Raw genomic sequence first — 12,182 nt, 5'->3', positions numbered from 1 at the left:
TTGGCCTCCCAAAGTGCTGGGACTACAGGCGTGAGCCACCGCGCCTGGCCAAGAATTTCTTTCCATCTCCTGTGTCATTGCTTTGGCAGTGGAAATGCGCGTGGCCTCTAGAGTGGGTCCCAAGGTCAGGAAGGCCTGTAAGGTGGAGGGCAAGGTCTCTCTTTCCAGGCTGGAATGGAGGAAGATGTGGTGGCTGAGGGGCTGCATGTCCTCCTCACAGCAGGCCCCTGAGAACATTTATCCTCCTGAGCCGCGAGTGTCCCTCAGGGGTGTCTAAAGCGCTGGGTGGGGCCTTTATAGGCCTTAGGAGCTCTGGCCCATTAGTGGTGCGTAAAACGCAGAGGTGAACACCATAGAACAACAGGTCCAGGAGAATTTTGTAAAAGCTCTGAGGATGCCCTTTTTTGTTCTCCCACTGCAAAATTGTTTTAAAAAGGAAAAAATCCAGCAATGTCCGGGGAAAGTCAATACTGAGTGTCAGCGCGGGATGCTGCCGCTGATACGATCCCGGCGTCCTGGCCGAAAGTGGCCTCCTCGGGGACCGCATCTCCGCGCACCATGGCAGCAAACGCCAGCGGTTTGTGGGCAGATGGTGTCCCTGTGGCCATCCCCGCTCCTGAGTGCGGAAGGACAGACAGGAGCGGGGACTTCTGGGTGTTCCTGGTGTCAGCCAGCTTGACGCCGTTGTTCCTCCTGGACGTCCGGGATTTGGAGAAGCACCTGGTTCCTGATGGAGGCCGTGGGCCTCTTGGTCCCCGCTTACCAGGCAGCGGCGCCGGCCTAGTTCTCAGCCCCGCCCCCGATGGGCGCCGCCTTCCATCAGGCCAAAGACTTTCCTCCAAACTGCCCTTCTTGGGGCGGGGAAGCAGCATCCTGGGCCTCCCCTGGGGCCTGTGGCGCTGGCAGCAGCTCCACGTTGAGGTCGCCTGCAGCCTGCACCGCGGAGCGCTGGAGGTCCCTGAACCCGGCGTGGGGAGGCCAATCCGCAGGTGCCTGGTGCCCAGTGCCGGTCGCAGTCTCAAAAGCGCCTGGAGGTGACATCCAGGAGCACCACCGCGCCGCCCGCAGGGAGACGCATGGCAAGGCGCGCCCCCTAAAGCGGCCAAGGAAGAAGCAGAAGGACAGGAAGGCACCCAGAGCTTGGGGTGATCTCAGGCCGCGCGCCCCAAGTTCCTGGTCTCTGGGAGGTTTTTTTTAAATTTCTTCCATATTATTATTTTTATTATTATTAACTTTTCAAGATGGATTAAAGACTTAAATGTTAGACCTAAAACCATAAAAACCCTAGAAGAAAACCTAGGCAATACCATTCAGAACATAGGCATGGGCAAGGACTTCATGTCTAAATCACCAAAAACAATGGCAACAAAAGCCAAAATTGACAAATGGGATCTAACTAAACTAAAGACCTTCTGCACAGCAAAAGAAACTACCATCAGAGTGAACAGGCAACTTACAGAATGGCAGAAAAATTTTGCAATCTACCCATCTGACAAAGGGCTAATATCCAGAATCTACAAAGAACTTAAACAAATGTACCAGAAAAAATCAAACAATCCCATCAAAAAGTGGGCGAAGGATATGAACAGACACTTCTCAAAAGAAGACATTTATGCAGCCAACAGACACATGAAAAAATGTTCATCATCACTGGCCATCAGAGAAATGCAAATCAAAACCACAATCCGGGAGGTCTTGCCAAAGACGATGTGGGCTTTCTGGGCAATGTCCAGCCTGAGCTGGAGCTTCTGGGACGCGGTCAAGTGGTCCTTTGGAGATTCCACGGCTTCGGATCCCTACTGCAGGATGCTCCGCTGTGTCTGCCAGCCTCTGGCGTTTTGCTGAGGGGTAACCTCGGAATGTATAGAAATAAGAACACTGGGATGGCCCAGTCATGCCCCAGGCATTCCTGCACACAGTGGTGGCAAAGGCAGGCGCTCAGACAAAGTGCCCGGTCGGCTTGGTGAGAGTACTTTACAGGTTAGTGACAGACTTGGTCCCGTGCTTGTGTCCTCTCATGTTTTCAGTTAACCTGCGGACGCCCAGGGGCTCCTCCATCTCCACCGTGTTCTCCTCGGGCTGAAGCCCAAAGTCCCCCATTTTCTCCTCAAACGGCTCACAGAGCCACTTCTGCAGGCAGGAGAACAGCGGTGGGCTCAGTGGCTGACCTGGGAAGCCACATCTGAAGGAACTGCTGGGTGACTATGGCCGTAAGTCAATCAAAGCAGACTTTCCCTGGCTTGCTGCGCTACATTGATTTTGTTTTCATATTTTAAAAGACGCAGAAGGGAGGTCCTAGGAAATTTGCCCAATGCAGATGCTGACAAGAGTGGTGACATGAAAAAGATTACCCAGAAGGAAAACAAGAGCTATTTTCTAAACATCTGAAATCTGTGTAGGCTTTTGGAAAAGTGAAACTAGATGCAAAGCAGCATGATATAATTCTGGCAATTTCCACTGACACAGAACTCAGTCAATCTGAATTAATCTAAGGGTTACAAGGAAAATGGCACTCCAAGAGGTACCTATTGACATCACTCAGCTGCTGTGAAATAGGCTTACAGACAACACGGAGTGTCAATTATCCAATGTTTAAAGTCAGTGATACAGATTGGACTACAATCTCTATGGCTCATAAAGTCTTCTTTAAAGGATTGATAGATGATTTATCTCATATGTAGACAATGATTCTCAGCAGTTAGCTAGCACAACTTGCTAATATCAATTGCTTGAGAAAATCAGATAATTGCTTGAGAAAATTAGGACATTGCTTGAGGATGTTAGGTAATTAAATAAATTACTTTTTTTAAGAATAGTTTAATGTTTTGGCAAGTAGACTTTAAAATAGATTGGTAATATTTTAAAGGCTACTTTTAAAGAAGTAGCAATATAACATGTTTAATTATGAAAAATAATGTTGGAAACAATTCAATTTTCTATCAGATAATTTCACAAATATAGAAATACCATCTCAATAATTAGAAGAAGTAGCAGCAATTTCTGTCATTTTTATGCAAGTTACTCCTAGTCCATTTATCTGGTCTTAAATAGTGTTTTTAAAATTTGTTTTCAAACAAGGCAAATCATAAATAATAGAATATATTTTACAATAATTGAAGGTAACAAAAAATAAGAGCCATTTAAAAAATTGTATTAGATTGTTTAAAAATGTTGTGGGTACATAGTATGTGTATGTATCTGTGGGGTCCCTGAGATGTTTTGATACAGGCATGCAAGGTGAAATAAGCACATCTTGGGGAATGGGGTATCCCTCCCCTCAAGCATTTATCCTTCAAGTTATAAAAAATTCAATTACAGTCTTAGTTATTTCAAAATGTACAATGAAATTATTATTGGATATAGTCACCCTATTGTGCTATAAAATAGTAGGTCTTATTAACTCTCTATTTTTATACCCATTAACCATCCCCACCTTCCCACAAAATCCCCCCCCAACTACCTTTCCCAGCCTCTGATAACCATCCTTATACTCTCTATGTCCATGAGTTTGTTTTGATTTTAGATCCCACAAATAAGTAAGAACATGTAACATTTGTCTTTCTGCACCTGGCTTATTTCACTTAATATAATGATCCATAATGTTCCATCAGTGTTACTGACAATGACTGGATCTTGTTCTTTGTTACGGCTGAATAGTCCTCCATTGTGTATATGTACCACATTTTCTTTATCCATTCATCTGTTGATGGACACTAAGGTTTCTTCCAAATCTTAGTTTTGTAAACAGTGCTGCAACAAATATGGGAGTGCAGATATGTATTTGACATACTGATTTCCTTTATTTTTGGTAGAGACCCAGCAGTAGGATTGCTAGATCATATGCTAGCTCAACTTTTAGTTTATTGAGAAACATCCAAACTGTTCACCTTGGTGGTTTTATTAATTTACATTCCCAGGAGCAATGTACAAGTGTTCCCTTTTCTCTGCTTCCCTGCTAGCATTTGTTACTGCCTGTCTTTTGCATACAAGTCATATAAACTGTGGTGAGATGATATCTCATTGTAGTTTTGATTTGCATTTCTCTGATGATCAGTGATATTGAGCACCTTTTCTTATACCTGTTTGCCATTTGTAGGTCTTCTTTTGAGAAATATCTATTCGAATCTTTTGCCCCCTTTTTTTTAGCCAGGTTATTAGATTGTTTCTTAAAGAGTTGTTTGAGCTTTTTATATATTCTGATTATTAATCCTTTGTTGGATGAGTAGTTTGCAAATATTTTCTCTCATTCTGTGGATTATCTCTTAACTTTGTTGCTTGTATCATTTTCCGTGCAGAAGCTTTTAACTTAATGTGATCCATTTGTCCATTTTTGCTTTGGTTGCCTGTGCTTGTGGGGTATTGCTCAAGATATTTTTGCCCAGACCAATATCCTGGAGATTTCCCCCAAAGTTTTTTTGTACTAGTTTTATAGTTTGAGGTCTTAGCTTTACATCTTTAATCAACTTTGATTTTACTTTTGTATTCAGTGATAGATACTAGTCTGTTTTCATTCTTCTGCATATGGATATCCAGTTTTTTCAACACCATTTCCCACCAGTGTATGTTCTTGGCACCTTTGTCAAAAATGAGTTCACTGTAGGTATGTAGATTTGTTACTGGGTTCTCTATTGTGTTTCATTGATCTATGGGCCTCTTTTTATGCCAGTACCCTACTCTTTTGGTTACTGTAATTCTGTAGTATAATATGAAGTTAGATAATATAATTCCTCCAGTTTTATTTATTTATTTATTTTTGCTTAGGATAGTATTATTTCTTATACTGAAAGCATTCTATGTTATTATTAGTCTAATTTTGCAGTTTTACAATGCTATCCTCTTTTACAAAGCTGTGATCAACTCAAAGTCCAGATCAGGGTCAATTGTAGCTATTTGCAAAAGTAGCAATATTCTGGCCAGGGGTGGTGGCTCATGCCTATAATCCCAGCACTTTGGGAGGCCAAGACAGGCAGGTCACCTGAGGTCAGAGGTTCAAGACCAGCCTGGCCAACATGGTGAAACCCTGTCTCCAATAAAAATACAAAAATTAGCCGGGGATGAAGGCAGATGCCTGTAATCCCAGCTACTCAGGAGGCTGAGGCAGGAAAATCACTTGAACCCGTGAGGTGGAGGTTGCAGTGAGCCCAGAATGCACCATTGCACTTCAGCCTGGGTAACCAAGTGTGACTCCGTCTCAAAAAAAAAAAAAAAAAAAAAAGTACTATACTGTGTAATTATTGAGAGCATAATTCACTATTATGTGGATCAGAGAGCAGAGCATTCTGAATGCATGAACATATCTTTAACATTTCAATACATTACTCATAATTACTAATGAACTAAAGAGAAACCAAGAAATTATGGTGATAGTTATATTGACTTGGTGAAATGTAGACACAAAATAACGGTAAGATGAGAAATGTGTTAACACAGGCTATAAGGGCATGCAAGAATAAAAATAGGGGAGAAAACAGGAGAGTTTTTCAAGAGCTTTCTGGTCATGTAAGTCAATTTGTATCGGTTAATTTTTAAAAGGTTTATTTACATGCAATAAACTGCACATACTTCAATTGTACATTTTGATAATTCTTGGCATTTGTAGCTCTACAAAACCAACAACATATGAAAATAGCAAACATATCCATTACCTTTACCACCAAAGTTTCCTTGTGCTTTTTCTACTCACTTTTTCCTGCCTATCCCCATTCCATCCACAGGCAACCACTGATCCACTTCTAGTCACTATCCGTGAGTTTTTATTTCCAAATACATAAAATCATAGGGTATGTATACTTTCTGATCACTCAGCATCACTATTTTTGAGATTTATTCATGTTGCTACATCTATCAATTGTTCTGTTCTTACTAGGGAGTATTATTTCATTATATACAGATACCATAGTAAGTTTATAAGTCACAAATTCACCTGTCCATGGATATTTGGACTATTTTCAGGTTTTGGCTGTTGCAAGTAAAGCTGCTATGAAGATTCATGTAAAATCCTTTGAATGGGCATATGCTCTTAGGTTTTCATCTCTACTGGAATAGATAGCTATATGGCTATCATGTCTGTAATATGCAAACACAAAGCCTGACAAAACTGATTTCTAAAGTGGAAATTCCACTGGAGAACCTTGACTCCAACCTGGCTTTTGAGATTATCTCCTATGTCTGGTGCAATGATTGGTCCTGGGGTAGCCACATGACGCAAGGGGGACCATGTTTAAACTTCTGAGTTTTCACCGAGGTTAACATGCATTTGTTGAAAGAGAAACCCCTTTTCCCCTACTCCCCCAGCTGCAAATGCCTTCAGGGATTATATCATGTTGGAACATTTGGTTACAGTGTTTCCTAAACTTTGGGGGTAAAAATTGTTCAAGTAGGTAAAAATGGAGCACACACAAAGAAAAAAGGAGTCCAGAAATATCAAATAAAGAAAGGGCCTCCATAAAATCATTTGAACTTATGATTAATTCATTAGTCATTAAAATAAGTTTAGTGTACAAAGAATCATCCCTCCAACCACCCTTTATTCCTTCACCAGGTTTAAGTTACATTTTTAAACTTGCAAACAAAAGATTTGTCATTAACTTAGACATCAAAATCCCTTGTCTCCAAGAGCAATCATTCAACTCTGTCCCTCTCATTATTACAATAATATGTTCACTTTATTCTACATACACCTGCTCGTTGCCCTTGTCTCCCTATTCTATTCTGTTAAAGTTATATCCAGACATTTATTTCATTTTATATCAAAGAAACTGTATACACGTTTTTAATCTTAGAAAAATTTCTGAGTAATCTTTTGTCTCATATTCGATTTTAAGCCACCCAAGAAGCATTATTTTTTCATTTAGCATTTTAACTTTTCTAACCCAGGACTTTTATAGTAGATATTATGTCTTTTTCTAAATGTTCTGCTTCAATTTACATTTTAAATCTAATTTTTAAAAAGTGTATGTTTTGAATATTAGCATCATGCATCTCAGGCCTAAATATCCCTTGATAACTAATATTGTCCTTTTTTCTCTACATTTTTCACATATTTCAATAGGGAGCTATATTGCCTGCCACAATAAAAGTTTTTGTCAATATAACATAACACATAGGCAAAATATTGTTTCCAAGTGATTGATGATGTGGTGCCTTCAGTCTAGTCCCAACCCCTCAATGTAATCATCATCCCTAAATCTAATGAAATAGGAAATAAATATTTCATTTTGTTTCTAAAATTCAGCAGAAAAATATACAGCCTGTCACATATAGCCTGTAACACCAACATATAAAAATTAAAGCAGTTCCTTCTCCACTCCCACTGCTTCACTTGACTAGCCTTAAAAAATAATAATAATAATAAATAAAAGCAAAATTGTTCCTTTACTTATCTTTGAAATCTAATGGATATACTATCAGAAAAGCTCTTATGTATATGGAGGGCCTCTATAAAATATAAACTGTTAACTAGAAAAGTAGATTTATATGATAGTTAAATTTAAAACACAATTATATATAGTACCTTCCCAAATGCACCAGTACTTATTTCAGAATGCATGATGTAATTGACTAAACCATTTAGGGCTAGACCTCTGAAATAAAAGGCATTCACACTTTGTGATTCCTGGGGAAATATTCAAAATAGAAACTTGCAGAATCTTTACCTGATCATGATAAAAAAAATGTTCCTACTTGTTAATATGCCACAGCTTTTACAAGGTCAGCAAAAAGAGATTATCCCACAATAAAAGCTGATGGCCAAAATTATCTGCCTTACTTTAGTTACCATAATATCTATTAAGTGTAAATTTCTTCTGAAAGAAAACAGATACACTTTTCTCAGAAATGTCTTTAGATGAAGATCTAGCACATCTGTGTTCCTCACTTTTTAAAATGTTGATTTTATTGATAAATAAATATATATAGGGTACAATGTGGTACGATACATGTAGATATTGTGAAATGGACTAATTAGGCTAAATAACGTATCCTTCACCTCAGATATGTATTACATTATGGTGAAACATTTAAAATGTACTATTTTAGCACTTTTAAGATATGCACTACATTATGAGTAACTGCAGTCACTTTGCTGTGCACCATATCACCAGAATGTCTTTCTCCTAACTGAAGCATTATCCCATTCAATATTTCCCCTTTTTCCACCCCTGCTCCCCACCCTGCTCAGCCTCTGATAAACCACCATTCTATTCTTAACTTCTATGAGTGCACAGTTTTGGATTTCACATATAAGTGATACTATGAGATATTTGTCTTTCTGTGTCTGGCTTATTTTACTTAGCATAATGTCCTCTAAATTCATCCATGTTTTTGCAAATGACAGATTTTCATTCATTTATAAAGATAAGTAGTATTTTTGTATGCATCCTACATATACTTTTAACTTTCCACAGCTTTATTGAGATATAATTTATACATTGTGTAATTCACTCATTTAAAGTACAAACTTCAAATTCTTTTAGTATATTAACTGGATGGACAAATAATCATCATAATATAATTTTAGAACATTTTATTTTCCTTAAAAGAGACTTGCGCCCATTAGCAATCTTTCCCCATTTTCTCCAGTCTTTTTTAAACCCCTCCTAGTCTAGGCAACCACTCGTCTACTTTCTGACTATGAATTTGCCTATTCTGGACATTTCACATAAATGGAATTATAATAACACATAGTCACTTTTTACTCACATCTTTCACCTAACATATTTTTAATGTTCATCCATTTTGGAGCATGCATTAACAGTTTTTTACCTTTTCTTGCTAAATAAGATTCTATTTTATGGACACACCACATTTTATTTATCCACTCCTCAGCTGATGAACATTTCTGTTGTTTTCTACTTTGTGTTGCTATAAACATTTGTGTACTACTGTTTGTGTAGCATTTGTTTTATTTTCTTTTTGGTAAACACATAGGAGTGGAATTGCTGGGTCACGTGATAACTCTATGTTTAACCATTTGAAGAACTGCGAGACTGCTTTACATTTTAAAGTCTCACCAGTGGTGTAGAAGGGTTCCAATTTTTCCACATATTTTTATCTAGTCTTCAGTTGATAAGCACTTAGGTTGTTTCTAATTCATGGGTATTATGAATAATGCTGCAATGAACATGAAATTGCAGATGTCTGTTTTTGACATACTGATTAAAATTCCTTTGGACACGTATCCAGAAGTGGGATTGATGGATCATAGGGTAAATATATTTATAATTTCTTGAGGAAGCTTCATACTGTTTTCCAAGATGGCTGTGCTAATTTCCATTCTTACCAACAGTGCACAGGGTTTCTTTTTCTCCACATCCTCATCAACACTTATCTTCCATCTTTTTTTATAATAGCCCTAGTAAAATGTGTGAGGTGATATCTCATTGTGGCTTTGATTTGCATTTCTCTGATAATTAGAAATGTTTATGATTTTTTCATGTACCTGTTGGCCTTTTGTATGCCTTACGAAATGTCTATTCTGGTTCTTTGCTTATTTTTTTTAATAAGCATAGTTTTATTCTTATGTTTGAGTAGGTTGAGTTACTTATATATTATTATATGAGCCCCTTATCTGATGTATGGTTTAAAAATGTTATCCCATTTGTGGGTTCTCTTCATTCTATTATCACTTCTTTTCCTGTGGAAAAGCTTTTTAGTTTTATGCAATCTCATTCATGTGTTTTTGCTTTTGTTGCCTGTGCTTTTGGAATAATCTACAGAAAATCATAGCTCAGGCCAATGTCATACAGTCTTCTTCTGTATTTCCTTGTAGTAGTTTTACATTTAAGTCTTTAATTTTGATTTCATGCTTGTATAAAGAGCAAAAGAAAAGTCAAATTTTATTCTTCTGTATGTGGATAGTCAGTTTTTTCTACACCATTTATTGAAAATAATTTTCTTTCTTCATTGTGTATTTTTAGTTATTTTATCAAAAAGTCAATTGACCACAGACATACGGATTTATTTACGGGTTCTATATCCCTTTGCACTGTTCTACATGTCTGTTTTTATGCCACTGCTATGTTGTTTTAATTACTATAGCTTTGTAATATAGTTTGGAATCGGGTAGTCTGATGCCTCCAGCTTTATTCTTTTTGTTCAAGATTGCTTTGGTTAGTCAGGGTCTTTTGTGGTTTCATACAAATTTTAGCAGTAATTTTTCTATTTCTGGGAATTTGATAGTGGTTGCATTTAATCTGTAGATTGCTTTGGGTAGCATTGACACTTTTACAATACTAATTTTTGAATCAATCAATAAAGGATGTTTCTCCATTTATTTATGCCATTTTAACTTTTTTCATCAATGTGCTATAGTTTTCAGTGTGCAAATCTTTCACATTCTTGATTAAATTTACTCCTAAGTCTTTTACATATTTTTATATCTGTTTTGATTCTATTATAAATTGAATTGCCTTATTAATTTATTTTTCAGGTAATAGTTTGTCATTAATGTATAGAAACAATAATGCTATCTGTATGATTTTGTAACTATTAACTTTATTGAATTTCTTTATCAGCTTTAACCGTTTATTGTGGTGGAGTCTTTAAGATTTTCTCTACCTTGAGTGCGCCAGGCGCGGGGAGCCTAGGACCTGGAGCGAGAGCCGCCTACCTGCAGCCGCCGCCCACGGCACGGCAGCCACCATGGCGCTCCTGCTGCGCTTCGTGCTCCTGTGCAGAGTCGCGGATTTCATCAGAGGTTGGAGTATCACTACTCCTGAGCAGATGATTGAAAAAGCCAAAGGGGAAACTGCCTATCTGCCATGCAAATTTACGCTTAGTCCTGAAGACCAGGGACCACTGGACATCGAGTGGCTGATATCACCAGCTGATAATCAGAAGGTGGATCAAGTGATTATTTTATATTCTGGAGACAAAATTTATGATGACTACTATCCAGATCTGAAAGGCCGAGTACATTTTAAGAGTAATGATCTCAAATCTGGTGATGCATCAATAAATGTAACGAATTTTCAGCTGTCAGATATTGGCACAGATCAGTGCAAAGTGAAAAGAGCTCCTGGTGTTGCAAATAGGAAGATTCAGCTGGTAGTTCTTGGTAAGCCTTCAGGTACAAGATGTTACGTTGATGGATCAGAAGAAATTGGAAGTGACTTTAAATTAAAATGTGAACCAAAAGAAGGTTCACTTCCATTACAGTATGAGTGGCAAAAATTGTCTGACTCACAGAAAATGCCCACTTCATGGTTAGCAGAAATGACTTCATCTGTTATATCTATAAAAATGCTTCTTCTGAGTACTCTGGGACATACAGCTGTACATCAGAAACAGAGTGGGCTCTGATCAGTGCCTGTTGCGTGTAAACGTTGTCCCTCCTTCAAATAAAGCTGGACTAATTGCAGGAGCCATTATAGGAACTTTGCTTGCTCTAGTGCTCATTGGTCTTATCATCTTTTGCTGTCGTAAAAAGTGCAGAGAAGAAAAATATGAAAAGGAAGTTCATCACGATATCAAGGAAGATGTGCCGCCTCCAAAGAGCCGCACGTCCACTGCCAGAAGCTACATAGGCAGTAATCATTCATCCCTGGGATCCATATCTCCTTCCAACATGGAAGGATATTCCAAGACTCAGTATAAACAAGTACCAAGTGAAGACTTTGAACGCACTCCTCAGAGTCCGACTCTCCCACCTGCTAAGGTAGCTGCCCCTAATCTAAGTCGAATGGGCGCGATTCCTGTGATGATTCCCGCACAGAGCAAGGATGGGTCTATAGTATAGAGCCTCCATACGTCTCATCTGTGCTCTCCGTGTTCCTTTCCTTTTTTTGATATATGAAAACCTATTCTGGTCTAAATTTTGTTACTAGCCTCAGAATGTATCAAAAAATAAGTTAATCAGGAGCTGTAAGGAATATATTTTTAAAAATTTTTGTTTGGTTATATCGAAATAGTTACGGGCATTAAAGTTAGTAAAGACAAGTTTACCATCTGAAAAGGCTGGATTTTCTTTAAGAGGCTGATTATAAAGGTTTCTAAATGTTATCAGTACCTAAGTAAGATGTAGCACTTTGAGTATGAAATCATAGGTGAAGAAATCCGTGAACTTACTTGCATACCAAGTTGATACTTGAGTAACCATCTGAAAGTGGTACTTGATAATTTTTACCATTATTTTTAGGATGTGTATCTCATTTATTTATGGCCCACAAGTCTCCCCCAAATTA

General features: G+C 38.1%; 1 pseudogene; it reads left to right on the top strand.

Annotated features, from left to right (window-relative positions):
* The window catches only part of LOC102723478 (coxsackievirus and adenovirus receptor-like), a 32,178-nt pseudogene extending 20,236 nt beyond the window's left edge, over positions 1 to 11,942 (top strand).
* The last annotated feature ends 240 nt before the right edge of the window (positions 11,943 to 12,182 follow it).

Source organism: Homo sapiens, assembly GCF_000001405.40.
Source record: "Homo sapiens chromosome 15 unlocalized genomic scaffold, GRCh38.p14 Primary Assembly HSCHR15_RANDOM_CTG1".
In the NCBI taxonomy this organism is placed as follows: domain Eukaryota; kingdom Metazoa; phylum Chordata; class Mammalia; order Primates; family Hominidae; genus Homo; species Homo sapiens.
Note: the sequence above shows the minus strand (reverse complement) of the source record. Positions and strands in the feature narration are given on the sequence as shown.